Below are 23,582 nucleotides of genomic sequence, written 5' to 3'. Positions count from 1 at the left end.
ATGATTTCACCAGTGAATCCTACCAAACATTTAAAGATCCAACAGAAAATAAAACTACAGATCAATATAACTTGAGAATATATTTGCAAAAATCACAGCAAAAGACAAATGAACTGAATTCATCGGCATATGAAGGAATTATACACCATGATCAAGTGGGATTTTTCCTAGGAATCCCAGATTTTTTCAACATATACAAATTAATTAATTTGACACATCATATTAAGAGAGAGGAGGGGAAGGGCACATGACCTGGCTAATTGAAAAAATGCATTTGACAAAATACAACACCTCTATTTTTTTTTTAGTTAAAAAAACACTTAACAAACTAGAAATTATAGAAACTTCCTCAACCTTGTCAAAAATGTAGAGAAATTGTAATCCTCATACATGGCGTTATGTATAAATGTAAAATGGCACAGCCATGTGGAAATCAGTTTGGTCTTTCCTTTAAATGTTAAACATTGAGTTACCATATAAGCCAGCAATTATACTTCTAGGTATATAACCAAGAGAATTAAAAATACACATTCACACAAAAACTTGTACCTGAATCTTTGTAGTCTTATTTGTAACAGTCAAATAGCAGACACAACTCAAATGTTCATCAACTGATGATAAAACACTATGTGGTATATTCACAGAATAGAATATTACTCAGCCACACACAAAAAGAAAGTACTACCACATGCTAAAACGTGGATGTACCTTGAAAACTATGCTATGTGAAAGGAGGCACAAAAGGCTACCTATTGTCTGAGTTGACTTATATGAAACCTTCAGAATAGGCATAGAGAAAGAAATCCACAGATAAAAAGTAGATTAATGGTTGCAAGGTGTTGGTAGGTGAAACAATGGGGTGTGGCTGCTTAACATGTGTAGGATTTCTTTTTGGACTGTGAAAGTGTTTTGGAATTAGATGTTTGTCATTGTCGCAAAATCTTGTGAATATACTAAAGAACTATTGAATTGTACCCTTTAAGTTGGTCTTGATGAATGTATGTGATTTATATCTGAATACATATTTTTAAAGTATTATTAATTATGACACGTGATTGGATTTGGTAGTAAGAAAAGAAGAGGGAGAATTCTAAAGAGTAAAGAAGTGGCACATATAGAGTAGGCTTTAGCTCTGGGGTTAGATCTGGTGACCAAGGAAGGAACAGAATGTTAAAGCTCTCCCCCATCCCGGGCTCAGATCCAGACCTGTCTGGAGAGGGAACAACTATGGATAAAGGATGGTAGATAAGTTACTGAGATGTTGTAGCAGGACTTTTGTAAATTCTGCTCTTTGGGACATCAAGGAAAATTGCCTACTGGGAGTTTCGGTTTTTATAACTTGCTGTAAGGCCTCCCAACAGTCTCTCAGAGAAGCGTTCATAGGAATGTGCCTCGTCTCCAAGGGTGTCTGGGAAAGAGCTACTGACTGCTGAGCTCTGAAACAGCCACCTGAACTGCAGGAACTTAGCAAGAGGAACAGCTCAGATCCAAGAAGAGAAACCCTTTCTTTTTGTACTGTTTATCTACTGCCCTCTAATGACAGCACTTAACAACGTGACAGTTGACCAAGGATATTTACAGGGTCCATCTCTGTTATTGCAGATCTGGCAATGAAGAATGGACTTGGAAGTGGTAGACAATACAATTGATAACTGGAAGAACAGATAACAGAACAGCATACAGGTTGACTTTCCTTGGAATATGTGAATCCTTGAGCAAGAACTTCCTTAAAAGGGGGTTTGGGCAGACAGACATTGATGTGACTTACTTTATACAGATTTCATGCAGTCAAAAATGAGAACTCTTTTTAAGGCTTTGAGGAAGCACATTCAGTTTGCTTGTACTTTATTGTGCCATTGTATAAAGTGTCCCGTATTCTCAGGAGTTTGTGGGCTAAATATGCTTTATATTCAGTAGCTAGGTAATTTGGAACATTGGCTTCATTCAAGTAGCTTAAGTCATCAGTTGCCCAGCTATTGTTTTCTTAATATAGTTATTATAAACCAATTCATATGTAATTCATAGAATCAAATGTTTTTGATTCTGCTTCCCTTTATTTCACTTACACCTGTTTAATTAAACAGTCTCATTGTGGTTATCTCCTGGGCCCTGCTTCAGGGAGGATCTTCTACATATGCAGTTTTTTACAGAAACATGGTTGGCATTGTACATTAATTATCTTATGCCTAATAATGAAATTAATGACAGTAAATACCATCTAACATTCCTATGGTGTTCAACGTTTGCCAGCCATTTTCATGTACATTACTCCATTAGTAAGACCAGAATGAAAATATAATTTTAATTGTATTAAAAACTTATTTTGAGTTCCTTTTTTGCCACATATTCATTTTTTAAAGTTGTTCAAATAGTTTATTCAATAATTCTCATTTTTATCAGGTGTGGAATAGTTATAATAATACCTGCCTACATATAATACAAGGATAAATAGGATTCTAAAGTGTTTTACAAATATGGGTTACTATGGTTGTCATTATTCCAATAGAGAATATTTTACAAAGTGAAAATGGAAGTATTTCTATGTAAGTCTGATACGGTTAGACTTGGTGTCCCCACCCAAATTTCATCTTGAATTGTCCCCATAATCCCCACGTGTCAAGGGAGAGACCAGGTGGAGCTAAACTGATATGTCCTCCTCCCAGCAATGAATGAGAGATATCTATCCCCACAGCATCAATAATACTTAATATTATCAAAATTTCCAATTGGTCACAATCTGACGGGTGAAAAAATCTATCTTATCTCTTGTTTGTTTTCCCTGATTACTAATAAGTCTGCCTACATTTTTTTTTTTTTTTTTTTTTTTTTGAGACGGAGTCTTGCTCTGTCTCCCAGGCTGGAGTGCAATGGCGCGATCTCAGCTCACTGCAAGCTCCGCCTCCCGGGTTCACGCCATTCTCCTGCCTCAGCCTCCCAAGTACCTGGGACTACAGGCGCCTGCCACCACACCCGGCTAATTTTTTGTATTTTCAGTAGAGACAGGGTTTCATCACCGCGTTAGCCAGGACGGTCTCGATCTCCTGACCTCATAATCCGCCCGCCTCAGACTCCCAAAGTGCTGGGATTACAGGCGTGAGCCACCGCGCCCGGCCAAGTCTGCCTACTTTTCATGTGTTTCTTCTTCTGTAAATTTCCTGTTGATAATGTTTGTTAATTTTCTATGGGAAAAATTTACTTTTTCCTAAAAACTGCAAGGATTCTTATGTCCTATATTACTACACAAGAAAACTCTGACCATAGTAAGCATTGTAATAAGGAAAATTGTATAAGCAGAAGAAGCTGTAGCCATAGAGTTCCAGTCCAATTATTTTGCTTTTAAATTTGAGGAAATTAAGGCTAAAAGAAGGAAGATGGGTTCCTACATGACACAAGATGAGTTGAGGGTCAGTGTCTGGTATAGAAGCTGGATTTCTGAATGCTTGTCCAGCAAATTGTGCAGAAAATTTTGATTCAGAATTAGGTATAAACTTATTTCTAGATTACATTTAGTAGCCTAATATCAAAGCAATGAAAGGATTGCCACACAAAAATTTTAAATTTGCAAAATTACCTGATTTGGAAGGCAGGGCATGTAAAATATTTCCTGACATTAAAATAAACTACAAAAGAGATAAAGATCAAATGACTTTACAGAGTCTGTTTCTAATGGTTCGAAGTACTTAATCAAGTTCCAACCTGATGTCTTATCCATTTAAATGGCCATTTTTTTTCTATTATTTTAAAAGCAGAGAAAGGTAAATTAAAAGAGACTGTAGGGCTATCTAAATTTTCTCATACTTCATAGAGGTTAAAATAACCCTTAACCTAGAAGGATAAAGCACTGAATTAAAAGTAGTTTATACAAAGGACAAATATTCTCTACAGACCCCAATTTCTTTTGAAAGTTGCCGACTTACCTAAAATTTCTTCCTAGCAGCATTGTTTATCTATACTTTAAAATAACTTTCGGTAGAGAATAGAAAGTTGCTTAATATCCTTATCATTAGCTTGTGCCATAAGTTGCACATTGTTTTTGTCTCTTTTATTAAATTTAAAAGTTAGCTTTAAGTTAAGGTAGTTGTAAAACTAAAAGGCAATCAAGTAAATTAATGCATCCCATGATGCATTCATTCTAATGAATCAAGTTCTAATTGTCAAGTTACTATATAGTTTCCATGCAGAATAAATTAGAGAACATATAGCCATCCTCTTAAATCACTTCAAGGACTCACATAGTGTCTTTAGTAGAGATATTTTGACATTTCAGGACCATTATCAATATTGGATAATGATGACAATGAAAACAATAGTGCTTGTTTTTGAGGGTTATCAATGTGCATAACACTTGTGCATGGCACTGAAAACTTACAACAATCAGTAAACTTCATACTGTCTTTAGTACTGTCCTATAGCTGAGAAAGCCAAAACTTAGAATAGAAAATCAACTTGCTCACGGTTGCACAGCAAATAAAGCTAAAAAATAGAAAAGGATTCTCAGTCACTCCTTTGAATTCTGTAACTTATCTGATTCAGTATTTTTAATATCAAATATCAAAATATTTATTTGGTGTTCCCTACTTCACAGATTTCCTCACTCCTCTCCTTTTCCCCAATCTTCCATGACAAAGACACAGTTAGTGAGAATGCATATTAAACAAGTTAAACCCTTTATATTTAACAAACTAATCTCTTCCATAAAGACATACTATAGAAAATAAATGCCTTACCTGATAGTAAATTGAAACGAAATTTTCAAGTATTGATAAAGAGTCATTAGACTGTCATAAAGATATAGTGCACCCTGATGGGATGTTGGTATAAATTGGTAAGATTATATTGAAAAAAAAAAACTACTGAATGATAATTTCCTTGGTAAAGATTGTTTTTAGCTCTAAATAATGGAAAACACTATGGCTTAAACATATAGGAATTTTTTCTCATATAAAAAGTTGAGTTGTGAGTTGTTATTGGAGTTGATTCACACCTCTCTGCAATGGTCTTGGCCTTTTCTTCGTGGTTACAAGTGAATAGGGATGCTCCCATGTTTCTATCCATATTTAAGCAGGAAAAAGGAGAATCAGTTGTTTGTTTGCTTTCCTTCAGAAGGCAAGAAAAGCTTTCTCAAAATCTCTCAGATAAACTTGTTACTTGGACAGCAAGGGAATGTCAAAATTGAGAAGCCCATTGTTCTAACATTGCCAAATACAAAGGACTGCACCAAGACCAACCAGAGTTTTATTAATCAGGAAGAAGTGAGAGGATTAATGTCTTTTAGAAAGTTCTGTTTTTCAGAATGGTGTGCCCATATGACAGCAAAAAAGTGTTATGATTTGTAATACTTAAAGTCAGAAGCAAGATGCATGTTCTAATGTTATAAATAGTGCATTGTTGTAGCATGGTATAGCTGTTGGAGTCAGACACTCTTGAACTGTATCACCTTTGTCAATCTAATCAATCTCTCAGAACCATAGTTTTTATAGAAATAAAAGTATTTGGCTCACAAAATATAGTATGAATCAGGTAGGCAACTATCTATAACATTCCTGCATCTGTAACATGCTTGTGTTAGTTACTGACAGTCTTCAAAATGGAATAAAGTCTCAGAACAATAAATGACTTTTGGTGCCTACCTAAAAGTTACATATGAATATTCCCAGTATTTGGTGACTGTCCTCCCAGAAGGACCCACAGGAACTCATGCTCCTTTATTATTTAGCTTTACTTTCTAGTAGGGCCTTATACTTGTCTTCATCCAGCTGGTAAGAGGAAAAAGATATAAAAAATGTTTCCCTAAAAGTGATACAAGTTTTTTCTTTCACAATAGGTTAGATAGATGGATGCATCTAGATGCAGGAAGACTGGGAAATGTAATCCCTGCTAGATAGCTACCCCAGTAACAAGTCTATATTCAGGAAGAGGGAGTATACATTGTGGTTGCAGATGATAATCTCTTCTACAATGCTCCTTAATCATTAATATTTTTCAACATATCTGCTTTCTAAGAGAACTAGATTCTAATTAAAGCAAGCACTGTGAAGTCAGTAAGGAGTACAGCTTGAGTCATATGGGTAGCTGATGAATGTTTACAGGAAGGAAGCATAATATAGTAGCTTCATGGACTCTGAAGCAAGATTGCCTGCATTCAAATTCTTACTTCACCAATTCCTAGTTGTGTGATTTTGGGTTAGTTACTTAACCTTGCTTTCTTTCTCTATGAAAATGGGAATAGTAAAATGAATTACCTATGCTATACAGGTTATTTTGATGATTAATTATTAATAGAATTAAAGCTTTTAGGACAATATTTATACTGAATACAGTATAAATTCATACAGTATTTATATCATATAGTATTTACATTGAATTTGGTTTGATTTCTGGAATATATATATTTAGATATATACATATCATGAAATATTTAATGAACATCAACAAATGCAAGAGATAATCAGAGGCATGTCAAATAGTATTTGCCTAAATGTGCTTACAAAGACAATGGGGACACTGAAAATCTTCGGATAGGTGGAACTATACTCAGTATATTATGGAATTGTGCCTGCTAGCCTGAAGAGGTCAGGAAAGTCTATGTGGAGCAGGTGATTTGTAATATAATAGTATGCAACAGACAGGCATGGAGAGGTGCTTAGGTGTGAGACCTGGTGCCAATGATGTCTTGAACAGGAAAGGAGTCTGTAGACACAGTTTGAAGATGTCAGTATCTCACTTCAATGCCTCTCTTAAGGAGAAAATATTGTTGGTTAGGATTTGGGTCATATATGGTGGAAGTGATAGATGACAAAGAAGCTTTCCCTAGAGATACTTCCTTTTTCACTACACTCATCCATCAAAGGAAAATAATGATGATGGTGGTGATGGTGTAAGGTTGATAAATTTGTTCTTAGAACAGAAAGAATTCAAGACAACCTGTAATTGAGAACTAGAGACAGGCATAAAGAAGAACTGAGAATCTAGATTTTGAAATCTGAAGTGAGTGCTAAATGAAAATCTTTAAAATATCTTATAATTAATTATTCAAATTTTAGTAACTTCATCATCCACAATGAATATTGAGCAATATAAGTATGTGACATGTAGTAATCACATGAACAAATCTAGCTTTTTTTCTTATTTTCTAACGTTTCACAGAATTCTACTTTTATGTTGGTAAGGAAATTAAGTTCAATATGTTGCCTTCTTCTAAATAATTAGCTATTACACACTAACATGGGACAAGAAGTAACTATAATATTAAAATGGCCCCAGAGTCTGGAGTCAGAAAAATCTGGTTTTGTATCTTGAGTTGACTAAATTACATGTGCTATGGATTTGCAGATGCTATTTAGGAATGCTCTATCCTAAAACTATCAGAAGCACTTTCTAAAAATGTGTTTAATTAAAATGAAAATGTATTAATTAACATAACATGTTCAAATAGAGGATGAAAAGGTAATCCAGAAGCAAAATGTTCCAGATTCTCTTGATTTAATATTTTGCCATCTTCCCAGAGTTTTTATTTTTTTTTGTCTTCAGATTATCTCTCCCTCACCATCATAAAATGCATGCACCATCTCAAGGCTTTCATTCTCACACAGCAATGCAAAAAGCTGGAAAAAAGGCTGCCTTTTCCTTGGTTCCCTTTTAAGAACAAATACAAGTTTCCAAAAATAAAACTAACCCCAGAACACTTTACACAATGTCTCATGGCTAAATTGCATTCCTTGTGCATAGTCACTAGCAAAGGAAATGATACCACGATTGTTGAAGACAGGCTTAGTGTCCCCTGAAACACACAGTTACTGGATAGGTGAACAATTTGGGGGTGCTGTTAACATAGTAAAGGAAGGAGGTGGCTTTCGGGAGACAACATTTGGAGATTGCCAGAAACTTTTTGACCTATAATACTCTCAGCTACAAAAATGTAACTATTATAGGTACTTTAGATGAGACTATGGTGATAAAAATATCTGGAACTTTTTATAATTTTCACTTCTGATAATCCAAGGGAAAAGGAGAAAAAAAAGTCATACTATTTTATACCTCTCACCCAACCTAGACCTGTAAGTACTTTATTCAAAATGCTTTCAAAGGAAAGCCAGTCTCCACATTTTGCTTTACCTCCTAGGGAAAACATGTGCCTTTATTCATCTAAATGTGAGGAACAGGAAAAGGAGAAACATACAACAGGCTTCCTGTCTAAGTTCAAATTCAGTGTGTAAGTGTTTTAGGTTCAGAGAACAACTTGAGTAATACCTGCAAAGTAAGTTCTCTAGGTAAAATACAGCTCCTAGCCAGGAAGCAGGCCATGTGGAAGAAGGCAGCGGAAGCCACTGCTACTACTTCTGTGAGCAATATCACTGGGCTTGAGCAATCTTTCTTTTGAAAAATTTAGATAATGATACTCTTAATTCTAGTGTTTTAAAGTATGCATCTGGAGAGGTGTTTTTCTTTTTTTGCCCTCATTTAACAAACTCTTAATTGTCCTCTCCAGTGGCAGCAGCAGTATATACCAGCTTTTTCTGATGAAAATAGAAACTGTTTAGAAATTCTTCTGGGTAATATTGAGGAATTTATACACATTTTGGATCCTGGCACCTGTTCTGTTCTTATAGTGGTGGGTTTTGTAATTTGGAATGAATTCTAGGTGTTAGACCTGCCTTAATGGTCTGAAGGGACAGAAAAGATTGACCTATAAACTGGAAAGTGTTTCACATTAGTTGATACCTCTGTTTATCCCTGTTTCTGTTTTTAGGCCTGGTAAAATCCATGCCTAGGGCTAGGTAGCAATATGTTACTTGAAGAGCACTACAAAGACCTGCGTGTGTTTAGATCAATAGTTTATTTTCTAAATCCTGCTGATTTGGATGTTTTGTGGTTTGAGGGAAACTCTGAATATTTGTCAGGTTATCATTTCGACAAATTCTTATTGTTTTGGAAACTTGGAAAATGTCCATAAATTCCATTGACCATCATGACAAGAAAAAGAAAAAACATCCGAACCTGAAAGGATGTAGAGCATAAATAAAAACAAGTAAAATGCAAGCCATCATTTGAATGCATTCTATGTACGAAGTGTTTTGCTTTCATGTGGATTAAATACACCCCTGCTTGCTCATCCCCATGGAGCTATCTTTGACTTGGAGCCCTACCTCTTCACACATCATTCTGATTCCTTCTCTGAAATGTATCTTTTGTATACCTTGTCCCTCAAAGTTAGGATCTCTTAGAAATATAAAGTGACATATTACATTAGTTCATTAAAGCTATAAAATAAATGTGTATTAATATATTACTGTCACTTGCTGAAGCAGATAGAACCACCCACCCAAAATGTGGTTTCAATGTTAGGACAGAAGCTACCATAAACATACAAAGAGGGTATAAAAAGGATTATTGCTTTCATCATTAAAGTCTCTGGGGAAAGCAGGCTTCTCAAGCAGGCTCGAAATGGTGCAAGAGAGCAAGGAAAGGAGACAGGCTTGAGTTTTCACTGTGGTTTATGAGTAGGAGCTTACATGGTTGGAATCTCCCACTAGTGCCAAAGAAGATGGCATCTGGGTTTTCTTATCAGCTTGTCACATGTGAGGCACAAAAAGGAGAAGGAGGAGTAAGACTTAAAAGCTGTTAGCAGTTAAATATCAAAAACTGTAGTCAGATTTCTCATTACATAATATAAACATGGAAAGAGACTGGTTCTCTTTCTTAGTAACACTAAATGGTGAATGAATAAATGAATAAATGCAGTCAATTACCATTATTCATGATAGTTATGTTCTATAAAGTCACCACAAACACTGAGTTAGTGAATATTGAACCATTGCTCCTAGGGGAAATATAGGGTTAGGTTCCTTTGAGCTTCTGGCCACAACATATACAACAGCTAAGAAACACACAAACTTACTTTATTTGTGTTTCTGTTTAATGACGCCTTATTTAACACATAGTGTTGATTCATTCACTTTGGACTCATGACTAGCACTCTAACTCATGCCTGAATGAGGCTTACCTAACTCACATCCTTTCTCTATAAGGCACATTGCAGCCTTCTTGCATGTAGAAACAGTAGACAGCCCTTCAGCATTACGCTTGGGGGCCATTTTAAACAGCAGTATCACTAATATAAAGCACAAAATTGTGAAACGTCACATTAAATAGAACAGAAAAGGATACTCGTATACTGTAGTATACTGTATAATAGTGGAAGCAAGAAGGCAGAGTATTGCTTTATTTGACCTCAGCTGGGAATGTGCAAGTCTGGCAACAAATTTTCATTGCTCTGAGCATGTCTACAAATGACCACAAAAGTGCCCCAAGTATTGATTTTAGGATTACAAATAAATTTTAGCAAGTAGGCAAATTTGAAGATATGAAATCTGTAAATAATGAAGATTGATTTTTAAATGAGTTAATGCTTTTTAGTCAAACCATTTTGGAGAAAGTGCCTCCATTCCTTCTTCTTTCCATTTGTTGCTGCTGTTATTTTTACTTCACTCAAGAACTTTTAATAATTCTAAGCAAGATGTTTAGTAGCATCACTTTAAACTGGTGGAAAAAGGGGTTTTTAGTAGTTTCTGTGTGAAACCACTGAAATCATCCTGTAGGTGACTGGCAATTTAACCAATAATGAGATATAGTGCAGATCTTGGGTAACAATAGAATATAACAGTAGAAACACAAGCTCCAGAATCAGAAATATTAGATTTATATCACAGACCCACTACTTATATGCTGTGTAATTTTAGTCAAGTTCTTTAACATCTTTTATCTTCAGTTTTCTCTTTGTAAAATGGATATAATAATAGTACTGACAATGTACTGTTGTTATGGGGATTAACTGAGATAAATTAACACACTATATAAACGTGGCCTATCACAGAAAGGATTTTTTTTTTTTTTTTTTTTTGAGACAGAGTCTTGCTCTGTCACGCAGACTGAAATGCAGTGGCATGATCTCGGCTTACTGGAAGCTCTACCTCCCAGGTTCAAGCGATTCTCCTGCCTCGGCCTCCCAAGTAGCTGGGATTACAGGCGCCTGCCACCACGCCTGGAAAATTTTTGTAGTTTTAGTAGAAACAGGGTTTCGCTATGTTGGCCAGGCTGGTCTTGAACTCCTGACCTCAGGTATCGGCCCACCTCGGCCTCCCAAAGTGCTGGCGTGAGCCACTGCGCCCGGCTAATGTTCAATATTTTTAAACTACACTTATTTAAGATACCTATTCCATTTGCGTTTTCTTGGTGCAATTATTATTGGTATTACTTTTCACACTGTCCTGTTTGAAATGACTAATTTTAGGATCGCTTTGCTACAGAAAAATCTGGAAAGCGTTATTTGTGCTCTATGGGAATAGTGCCATAGTTAATTGTTAAGTAAGTCTTGACCGTGGCGTAGAGAACAGAAAGCACATTTGCAGCGTTTTGACATACTGAGACTAAATAACTTGCGGTAAATCAAGATTTTTCATCCTTTATCCCAATTTAAATTATTTTTCTCTTGTCACGCTAGTGAATTCTAAGCCCCATGGAAACTAGGATTTTCCTGTGCAAGCTGGGATGAATAGCCACTTGAAAGAAAATACAGTTGCTGTGACTAGATTTTTAATTTACTGTGTCAGATTTCTAGGACTTGATTACAATTGAAAACTGCTTGTGATCTTTCGATCAAACACAACCATTTTGTAATTAGTTCTTCTGGAACGAGAAGCAGTATTGGGTATCAGAAGAGATCTTGCAGTTGACAAAAGTAAGATTTTGTTCACTGAGTGTGTTTTAAGTGTCATTATGGCCCCCTATTAGAGTAAGGAAAAATGGGAGAAAAATAATGAATGGATTCTTGGCCAATGTATCTATTCTCTGAATGTATAATGTATAATGGAAATAGACATGTTTAGTAGTTGACATAGCCTCACATAGGATCTCTGGGCTGTGGAGCAAAAGTTACTATAGGAGCAAAGTCCACATGGAAGCCTCTTACTCCTGTCCTTTTCTCCCAAGCCAAGAAAGTACAATAAAAACACTAAGTTATCCAAGGAAGATGTCAGAAATTAATGCCACTCATATAGATCTAAAGGATGTGGGTGTGGTGATGTTCATCATACCTGCATTCAATTTACCAGTCTGACTCTTGCAAAAACTACATGGATCCTGGAGAAGGATAGTAGATTACTACAAATTCAATCAAGTAATGGCCTTAATTATAGTCCCCATGCAAAATGTGCTATCTTTATTTTTTCTTCATCTTTTAAGTTCAGGGTTACATGTGCGGGATGTGCAGGTTTGTTACGTAGGTAAACATGTGCCATGGTGGTTTGCTTGCACAGATCAACCCATCAATTAGGTATTAAACCCAGTATCCATTAGCTATTCTTTCTGATGCTCTCCCTTCCCTGGCCCCCATCCCTGACAGGTCCCAGTGTGTGTTGTTCTGTCCCATGTGTCCATGTGGTCTCATCAATCAGCTCCCACTTATAAGTGAGAACTTGCGGTATTTTGTTTTCTGTTCCTGTGTTACTTTGCTGAGGATAATGGCTTCCAGCTCCATCCATGTCCCTGCAAAGGACATGATCTCATTCCTTTTTATGGCTGCGTAGTGTTCCATGGTGTATACATATGTACCACATTTTCTTTACCCAGCCTAGGCAATTGGGTTGATTCCATATCTTTGCTACTATGAATGGTGTTGCAATGAACATACACATGCATGTATCTTTATAATTGAATGATTTAGATTCCTTTGGATATATACCCAGTAATGGGATTGCTGGGTCAAATGGTATTTCTTGTTCTAGATCTTCGAGGAATCACCACACTGTCTTACACAATGGTTGAACAAATTTACACTCCCTTAGTGCATAAGTGTTCCCGTTTCTCTGCAACCTCATCAGCATCTGTAGTTTCTTGACTTTTTTATAATAGCCATTCTTACTGGCATGAGATTGCATCTCATTGTGGTTTTGATTTACATTTCTCTAATGATCAGTGATGTTGAGCTTTTTTTCATGTTTGCTGGCTGCATGAATGTCTTCTTTTGAGAAGTGTCTGTTCATGTACTTTGCCCACTTTTTTAAGGTTTTTTTTTTCTTATAAATTTGTTTAAGTTCCTTGTAGACTCTGTATACCTTTGTCAGATGGATAAATTGCAAACATTTTCTTGCATTCTATAGGTTGTCTGTTCACTCTGATCATGGTTTCTTTGGCTGTGCAGAAGTTCTTTAGTTTAATTAGATCCCATTTGTCAATTGTGGTATTTGTTGCCATTGCTTTTGGTGTTTTAATCATGAAATATTTGTCCATGGCTATGTCCTGAATGATATTGCCTAGATTTTCTTCTAGTGTTTTTATAGTTTTGGGTTTTATATTTAAGTTTTTAATCCATCTTGAGTTAATTTTTGTATAAGGTATAAAGAAGGGGTCCGTTTTCAATTTTCTGCACATGGCTAGCCAGTTCTCCCAGATTTTTTTTCTAGGGTTTTTATAGTGTTGGGTTTTACATTTAAGTCTTTAATCCATATTGAGTTAATTTTTGTATAAGGTATAAGGAAGGGGTTCAGTTTCAGTTTTCTGCACATGGCTGGCCGGTTCTGCCAGATTTTCTTTTAAGGTTTTTATAGTTTTGGGTTTTACATTTAAGTCTTTAAACCATATTGAGTTAATTTTTTGTATAAGGTGTATGGAAGAGGTCCAGTTTCAATTTTCTGCATATGGCTAGCCACTTCTCCCAGTACCATTTATTAAATAGAAAATCTTTTTCCTGTTACTTGTTTTAGTCAGGTTTGCTGAAAATCCAGATGGTTGTAGGTGTGCAGTCTTATTTGTGAGTTCTTTATTCTGTTCCGTTAGGTTATGTGTCTGTTTTTTATCAGTACCATGCTGTTTTGTTTACTGTAGCCCTGTAGTGTAGTTTGAAGTTGGGTAGCATGATGTCTCCAGCTTTGTTCTTTTTGCTTAGGATTATCTTGGCTATCCAGGCTCTTTTTTGGTTCCATATGAATTTTACAATAGTTGTTTCTAATTCTGTGAAGTATATCAGTGGTAGTTTAATGGAAATAGCACTAAATCTATAAGTCACTTTGGGCAGTATGGCCATTTTCATAATATTGATTCTTCCTATCCATGAGCATGGAAAGTTTTTTCATTTGTTTGTGTCCTCTCTTATTTCCTTGGCAGTGGTTTGTAGTTCACCTAGAACAGTTCCTTCACTTCTCTTGTTAGCTGTATTCCTAGGTATTTTATGCTTTTTGCAGCAGTTGTGAATGAGAGTTCATTCATGATGTGGCTCTCTGCTTGTCTATTGTTGGTGTATAGGAATGCTAGCGATTTTTGCACATTGATTTTCTATCCTGAGACTTTGCTGAAGTTGCTTATCAGTTTAAGAAGCATTTGGGCTGAGACCATGGGGTTTTCTAGATATAGGATCATGTCATCTGCAACAAATATGCTATCATGGATTGAGCCTAGTAACAGCCTTAGGCATATGGTATGCTATTTTTGACTTCATGAATGTATTTTTTCCTCCTCTGTCAGAAAAAAAAAGAAACATAAGTAATTTGTATTCACATGGAATTGACAATAGTATACATTCACAGTTTTGCCCTAGAGCTATAACTCTGTTACCCTCCTTCATAATACAGTCTAAGGAGGCTGAGTCTCTCTAGGTATCCTGTAGAACAAAACATGCATTCACTTTATTGATTAATCAGATGGAATTTGCAGGAGGTGCTTACTATTTTGAAGGTCTTTATAAGACCCATAGCCCATCAGAGGATGGGAGACAAACCTTATGAGTTTTATTGGCCTAAAAATAGTAATGTTGTTAGCAGTCTCTGCTCAAGAGCTTGCTGGAGAATTTAAAGTGAAGGACAAATTATTGCATCTTTTACCTGCCAGAAAGTATAGTGTCTGGTAGGTTTCTTCTGTTATGCAGGCAGCATATTCTGCACCTAGGAATATTGTTTCAACTATTATCTTTGACTGAAGCCAAGAAAGTGAAAGCATTCCTCAAGAGGACCAGTTCTTGATGCAGTAGCTTGGCTATCTAAGCCAGAAGATACAGCAGATACTATAATATTAGTAATATCAGTGGTGGAAAAGAGCCTAGAACAGGTTTACGAAAAGGAGAATCATAACACAGACTGTTTGCTGTCTGCAGAGGAGAACTATATTCCTGGTAGAGGTGAAATACCTGACCCTGATGCATCAAGAGACCATGAAGTTATAACTGTCCATCATAAACTGGGTTTTGTCAGAACCAGTAGTTCATAAGCCAATTGGGTCCCGGAATAATCTATTCTAATATAAAAGTGATGCATTCAGGACTAAACATGAGTGGGACAAAGGAACAAATAAGCTACATAAGTATGCATGTAGCCCAGATTCCCATGTATTAACTTCTGTTGTAGCAGAATCTCTCCCTCAGGTTACAAAGGATGTGTAGCAATATAGATTTAGGTAATCTAGTTCCCAAAAGAGGAGCACTCCCATCACAGGACATAACAAGAGTCTCACAGACAGGTAGAAAACCAATTCATAAAATCAGTATTCATATGTCAAACAAAAACTTATATTCAAAATATATTAAAAACTCTCATAATTCAATAATTAAAATGAAAACAACCCAGTTTAATAAAAATGTTCAAAAGCCCTGAATAGGCACCTCCAAAAGAAAATATGTAAGTAGCCAAAAAGCACATGAAACCATGTTCAATTTCACTAATCTTTAGGAAAATTCAAAACAAAACCATGATAATACAACACACTAATTCAATTCATTAAAATTTGAAAAAGATGGATCATATCAAGTGTTGTTAAGGATATAGAGTGACTGGCATCCCATACACTGCTGATGGGAACATAAAATAGGCCGGGCGTGGTGGGTCACGCCTGTCATCCCAGCCCTTTGGGAGGCCAAGGCGGGCAGATCACGAGGTCAGGAGATCGAGACCATCCTGGCTAACACGATGAAACCCCATCTCTACTAAAAATAAAAAAAAATTAGCCAGGTGTGGTGGTGGGCGCCTGTAGTCCCAGCTACTCAGGAGGCTGAGGCGGGAGAATGGCATGAACCCGGGAGGCAGAGTTTGCATTGAGCCAAGATCGTGCCACTGCACTCCAGCCTGGGTGACAAAGCGAGAATGAATCTCAAAAAAAAAAAAAAAAAATTATACAAATACTCTGAGCAAGTTTTAAAAAGTCAAACATACACCTTCCATATTGTTCAGCCATCCTACTCCGAAATATTTACCTGATAGAAATGAAAACATTTGCCTGCACAAAGAATTATTTTAAAGATTCATAATAGCTTTATTTTTAATAGCCCAAAACTGTAATAACCCAAATGTTCATTAACAAGTAAATGGATTAACAGTAAAACAAAGTGTGGCCCATCTATATAATAGAGTACTACTCAGCAACAATAAAGAACCAACTCTTGATTCAGGTAATAACATACATGCTCAATATGATTACACTAGGTCAAAGAATCTATGCAAAAAAGTATATTCTGCATGATTGCAGTCTCATAAAATTCTAGAAAATGTAAACTAATCTGTAATAGAAAGTAAATTAGTAATTGCCTAGAGATGGGAAAAAAACAACGAATTTAAATTACCATGAAGAAAATGTGGGACATCATAGAAATATTTGTTATCTTGATTGTGGTGATTATTGTGTAGGTATATACTATTTCAAAACTGTTAACATTTTATATTATACTGTATTTGGGTAGTGTATTAGGCTCAGTTATTAAGTTTAAAAAATCATCAGAATATTTTTATTTCTTAACTGCCTGACACATTTTACTTTAATTTTATATGTTACTATAATTTTACTATAATTTTACTATAATTTTATATGTTACTCTTTAGAGAGAATAGAAAGATAACATTGTGTTTTCTCTGGGATGGTTAATCAAACAACTGTACTGACACTATGAAGAATTTCTTTTAACCTCACAATTCATGACTAAGAATCCTCAAATTTTAGATTAATTGGCAAATTTGGGGGAAAATGTCAGTTTTTTTTCATATATTACCTCATGTGGATCTGTTTACTCTTTTACCCTGCTGCTATGTTTTGACCTACTGAAGCAGGAATTCTGACAAATTCTATTTTGCATAGCTACATTACAAGTAAATTTCTGACATAAGAGAATTTCAATTTTGATTGGAAATTGATGAGGCATACTAGGTGGGCAATCCCTTTATAGTTTTATACATGTGATAATAGGAAAAATTCTCCATGGAAGACAAGCTCCCTAGTTCATAAATTTAAAATATCTTTCTGCTCTAATAACAGCATGCTTTTGTTGCCAGGCACTCTCATGGCCTTCATAGCATAGAATGACTTCTGGCCTTGTACCTCCTCGTCACAATGCCAAATGAGTTGGCTCTGTGTGCTACAAGAGTTCTGGAGAACTATCTATGGAAACTACAATGTAATGACTAGCAATAACTACTGTACGTATAAGGAAATGACTGCAAACCACACAGATTCATCCTGTTAAATTCAAAGATCATTTATTCAACTTTCCCATAACCAAATCACAAAAACACCTGTGGCTACTCTCAAGTCAACTGATGCAAAGAGAATTGTAATGGAAGAGGGGCCAAGTGAAGAGAGAGAACAGTGGAATCATTTGTGGCTAAAATGCCTTACTTTTGGAAATCAACATACATTTTATATATGTTTATATGTGTATATGAAAAGTATATATGTAAAGGTTCAAAAATATATATGTGTACAATGAATTATCTTAATGCTATCAATTCTCATGTACCCTGGAAAGATTTTTGTATACATTGAGAAATACATGTACAGCTGATTTTAAGAGTCCTACTGGACATAAATTCAGTCAGATCTGAACTACAAAAGGGAATAAAAAGTCTTGGGCTTGTTTATTTAAATTAAGACTTTTATTATTAAACACAAATATCTTTATTTTTTATTTGCCAATAATTTGTTTTTTATTGTTTAATTTTTTATCTTTTAGAATTTTTATTAATACTTTTGATTTACACATCATAATTGTATACATTTATGAGGTACAATGTGATGTTCTCATATATGCATAAAATGTGGACTGTTTAAATGAAGCTCATTACAACATACATCACCTCCCTTATCTATCATTTTTTATGGTGAGAAGTTTGAAATTTAGTTATTTTGAAATATACAACACGTTATAATTGACTATAGTCACCCTGCTCTGCATTGGATCTCAAGAGTTATTCCTCCTGTCTATCTGAAATTTTATACCCTTAGATCAACAACACCTCATTCCATCTCTCCCCACTGCTCAAGCCTCTGGTAACCATCATCCTATGTCCTATTTCTGTGAATTCAAATTTATTAGATTCCACATATAAGTTATATCACGCAGTACTTGCCCAGTAATCTCCCTTCTGGTATGTATCCAAAGGTACTACAATCAATATGCTGAAGAGATACCTGCACTCTCATGTTCATTGCAGCATTATTCACAACAACCAAGATCTGGAATCAACCTAAGTGTCCAGCAGTGGATAAAGAAATTGTGGTATGCATACACAATGGAATACTGTGCATTCTTAAAAATGAAGAAAATCCTGTGTCTTGTGACATGGATGAATTTGGATTTGTTTTATGTGAACCTTAAAAACTAAATTCAGGAACCTTATAATGCCCTTTTTCTCTCCAACTCCAACTCCCCCCAACCCCCCAACCCCACACTACTGTAGAGATATATTGGCTCACTTAAGACTAAGCTTTAATGAGTAAAAATTCTTATTTTTAAGCAATAAAAACTTACTTTCGTTGATTTAGGGAAAGAAATTTATAGAAAGAATTGCCAGACAGGTGGCTGAACCTGACTTACAGAACTGGTGGAAATAATAGGGATATGCAGCAGCCAGAACTAAAGGCAAAATCATGCCACAAAACCAGTGTGCACACTGCTGCTGATTAACCCTGTAGGGAGCTTGCAAAGTGGCCACATGTTGATACTTGATACCATAAGCTGCCAGTGCTGCCCCTGGAAACTCCTTGTTGTTGCTGCTGCTGCTCCGGTCACCTGCATCAAAATGTATTCTCCATGGTACATCCTCCTGCTTGTTTGCTACCTCCCAGTATCAAGTTCAGAGGTAATACATTCTAGGTTACATGCTCATGCCTTTGATGCAAGGGAAATGAATAAATGAGCATCTGGCACTTTAACATCTGTGATTAAAGACAAGCACTGCTTTTTGCCATGACTCACATGGTGAGGGATTGATTCTCCAAACATAAGAATGGTGTTCAGATTCTGGGCCACAAAAAAAAGGTGATAAATGTTCCACATAAACACATATAACCACGAAGAACACACAGGTGTTGCACTTCTGGTCAATGGGCATCTAAACATTTAGCCGATTCTTTTATTAAACAAAAAGGATAAATGCAACATAAATGTGATTCTTATGTGTAAGCATAGTTAGGGCCTGCTGCTATTTTCTACTGTCTGCCTACACTCTTACCCATAGAAGTTTTTTCATTCTTGACTTGACACAAAGTTACTCTGAGGATTAAGGCTTAAAAGGAATGTCTTGATATTTCGGTTAGTTCGATGGTATCCATTATGCACTGAATCATGTCTTCACTAAAAGTGTATGTTGAAATTCTGTGATAGGGTTTGGATTTGGGTCCCCACCCGGATCTCATGTCAAATTGTAATACCCAATGTTGGAGGAGGTGGGAGGTGATTGGATCATGCGGTGGACATCCCTCCCCACTTATAATAGTGTTCTTATAATAGTGAGTGAGTTCTTCTAATAGTGAATGAGTTCTCACAAGATCTGGTTTAACCTCTCTTCACTCTTTCTCCTCCTCCTGCCATGTTAGATATGCCTTCTTCCCTTTCACTTTCTGCCATGATTGGAAGTTTTCTGAAACCTCCTCAGCTATGCTACCTGTATAGCCTGTAGAACCACGAGCCAGTTAAACCTCTTTCCTTTATAAACTACTCAGTTTCAGGTATTTCTTATAGCAGCATGAGAATGGCCTAATATACCCTGAAATATATCCTCAAAATATGACTGTTAAGGGAGAGCCTTTAAAAAGGTGATTAAATTAAATGAGACCCTTAGGGTGAACCCTAATCTAATCTGGTTGATGTTCTCGTATGAAAAGATAATTTGGACACAGAATGATACTAGGAATATGCACACACAGAGAAAAGACCATGTGAGGACACAATGAGGCCTCACATGTTTAACATATCAGTTAAACTGTATCAGTTTAACTGAATACTTCTGAAGTGTCTCTGTGTCATTTCTGGTGGGCTATATGTTGACTGAGAAAACATCACACACTTCTCATTCACAATATCACATAGTTATGTCCAATGCCATTGGGGCAGGTCTCTCTAAAGAATCAGACACAACCTCACTATGGAAGTTCAATATTCAGGTATATGGCCAGAGAGCAAGAAGTACATTTTGGGGTGGGCATCACGTAAAAGACATGTTTTTCTTGAAGGCTTATACCAGTGGTCAGAATATAAGAGTGACAAACTTTGATTGATTGATACAATTAAGTGGGAGAATACATGTAAAGGGGCAAAAGAGCATACAGCGAAGTAGCTGATACACTTAATAGATGATGGTTTTCTAGTTCACAGGGCCAGATATCAACAATTCATAAAGTGAGTCAATAAGAATGCCTCTAAGTTTCCAGAGCTAAATAACAAAAGTAAAGGAATCAGCTCAGGGAAGCCTCAGAAACAATCGTGCCTGGGATGTGAAGCTATTTAGCACTGATTAGTAACATGGTGATTCTTTTTTCATAGCCTCTAGAAGATTTGATTCATTTTGCTATTAATCAACTTTGAAGAGTCATGATATAAGTACAGCTTTTAGTAGAATATGATATTAAAAGGGAAACCGAGAAGCTGCAAATTGAAAGGGAAAAATAACTGGACAATTGGGATCTCTTAAAGGATATCTGTAATACATTTGGGTTCCAAAGAGTCAGTCACATCTCTATTGTAGTTAAATCATCTGACAGTAATCAGGAAGCTTTATTAAAATGAAAACTGATGAAAGTGTAGCTCAGACGATTCACTGCCCCTTGTAGTAGAATAATTTGCTGAATCAATAATGAGAGCATACATGGGCCCCCTAGGACTCTTTCTAAGCAAACTCTATCCTCACTGACAGATAACACAGGAGTTTTGTTCACTGGTAATGCTGGTAGTACTTGTTGTACTACTCACTATCAAACATTGTAATGTAAAGTTAGGAGATGAGAAACATATCATAATTTATTATTAATTTCTTAAGTAAAAGTATGAAAAATTCACATTTTTAACCACAGATAATTATTTAAGAAAAGAAAGTAATTATTCTACTTTTAGTAACAGCAGAATATCCTACATCAAATTTATCTTCCCACATATAAAATAGTAAACTCTGGGAAAAATATTTAGAAAAAATTATTTTGAAGGTGCTAGAGAAAAACTAAAAACAGACAAATACTGAAAAGGAAATTACCCTTGATAGAGAAAACCTGTACTGGAGGAAAAATTGGATTCATAAGACCTTAATTTTGTTCTAAGGCATGTGGCAATTTAAAGCAATAATAATAGTAATAATAAAGAGTGTTTTGTGAACTAGTATTCCTTGTAAGGAATACTAGCAATAGCTCAAAACACATGAATAAAAGCAACTGTAATTTTCAAAATTTTAATATCTTACATGAAGTAGTAAGATATAAGAATGCATAACGCAATTTCTATAGTGACAATGAAAAGAAAAGTAATGAAGGTGTTATAAAGTCAAAAGAAAAATAAAATGGAAAACTAAAAATATTTGATGCACTCCCCAAAAAAGCAAAATGAAGGATCAACTGTAAAATAAGAAAAGAAGGGAAAAATGGAAAACACATGGCAAGATGATAGACTTAAGCCCAACCGTATACACTCCATACAAATAATAGACTACACACCCCAAATTAAAGGAAAACTAGGCTGGTTTAAAAAGCCCAAGACATTACTTTATATTACTTAGAGGATACACTTTACATATAAAGGCACACATTGATTGAAAGTAAATGGATGAAACATTCCATGCAAAAATTAGTTATAAGAAAGCTAATTGACAGTATTCACATCAATTAAATAATCTTCAACATAAGAAGTATTACCACAAAGAGAAACATTTTGTAATGCTGAAAGAAACAACTATCACGAAGACAAAAAAAAGATTAAACATGTGCATACACCTGATAACAGAGCCTCAAAATGCATGACACAGAAGCAGAGAAATGGATACATTTGCAAGTACAGGTTAATATTTTCACACTTTTATCACACAGTTGATAGAACAGTTAGACAAAAACTCATTATGATATAGAAGATATGAAGATTATTACTCACCCTGACCTAATTGACATCCATTTATAATGATATCAAAAGCTGCAGAACGAGTATGCATGATTTTTAAATGAATACCGAAAATCACCGAACTAGCTCATATGCTGACCGTAAAACAAGTCTCAATAAATTTCAGACTATTGGAGTATTACATAGTGCATCCTCTGATTATGAAATAATAGTACAATTTCTAGAAAAGTCCCCCATATTTGGAAAACAAACAACACTTTTTGGAAAGAGATATAAAAATGATCTTAGAAAATATTTTTAAACGGGTAATAATAACTACCTAATATATCAAAATTTGTGAGATGCATGTATAGCAGCAATTATAGGGATATTTGCCATTTTAAATTATTATATTAGAAAAGAAAAAGGTTTTAAAATCAGTGATCTAAATGTCTACCTTAAGAATCTAAAATATACCCAGTAAATTGAATCCAAAATAAGTAGAAAAACAAAATTAGAAAAAGCAGCAACCAATGAAATAAAAAAAAAAACAGACACTAGAGAACAATTTTAAACCCAAAATACCTACTGGGTACAATATCTAATATGTGGGTGATGGGTACACTAGAAGCTCAACTCTCACCATTATGCGTGTAATGTCCTTATAACAAACAAGCTCAAGTATCCTGAAGTCTAAAATTAAAAAAATAAAGGCCGGTCACGGTGGCTCACGCCTGTAAACCCAGCACTTTGGGAGGCTGAGGCGGGCAGATCACGTGGTCCGGAGAGCGAGACAATCCTGGCTAACATGGTGAAACCCCGTCTCTACTAAAAATACAAAAAGTTAGCCGGGCGTAGTGGCAGGCGCCTGTAGTCCCAGCTGCTGGGGAGGCTGAGGCAGAAGAATGGCGTGAACCTGGGAGGCGGAGCTTGCAGTGAGCCGAGATCGCGCCACTGCACTGCAGCCTGGGCAACAGAGCAAGGGCTCCATCTCAAATAAATAAATACATAAATAAAATATAAAACCCCAAATCTCCATCTTTGCAAAAATTAATAAGATTAACAAAGCCCTAGAAAGACTCATGCAGACGAAAAGAGAATAAACACAAATTATTTAACGTATCAGACAGAGGAGAGAATATCATTAAAGAAATTATAAAGCTTAAAATGATAATATATTATAAAAAACTTGTTACGAATGTATTAAACAATTTATATTAAATGGAGAAATTCTTTGAGAAATATAACTTGCCAAATT

General features: G+C 35.5%; 1 long non-coding RNA gene across 4 annotated transcripts in view; it reads left to right on the top strand.

Moving 5' to 3' along the window:
• Positions 1-23,582, top strand: part of LOC105369165 (uncharacterized) — a 486,292-nt gene that overhangs the window by 396,808 nt on the left and 65,902 nt on the right. Inside the window, exon 4 of one of the 4 annotated variants that reach the window (NR_187748.1) lies at positions 1,603-1,683. The exons of 2 other annotated variants lie outside the window; for them this stretch is intronic. This is a non-coding gene — a long non-coding RNA (uncharacterized LOC105369165). Of the gene's footprint in view, positions 1-1,602; positions 1,684-17,303; positions 17,895-23,582 lie in introns of those variants that run through there. One more of the 4 variants, NR_187750.1, reaches the window with a different exon arrangement.

The sequence above is a fragment of the Homo sapiens genome, chromosome 2 (genome assembly GCF_000001405.40).
Source record: "Homo sapiens chromosome 2, GRCh38.p14 Primary Assembly".
NCBI lineage: Eukaryota > Metazoa > Chordata > Mammalia > Primates > Hominidae > Homo > Homo sapiens.
The sequence above is the reverse complement of the archived record's forward strand: the minus strand, read 5'-3'. Positions and strand labels throughout refer to the sequence as shown.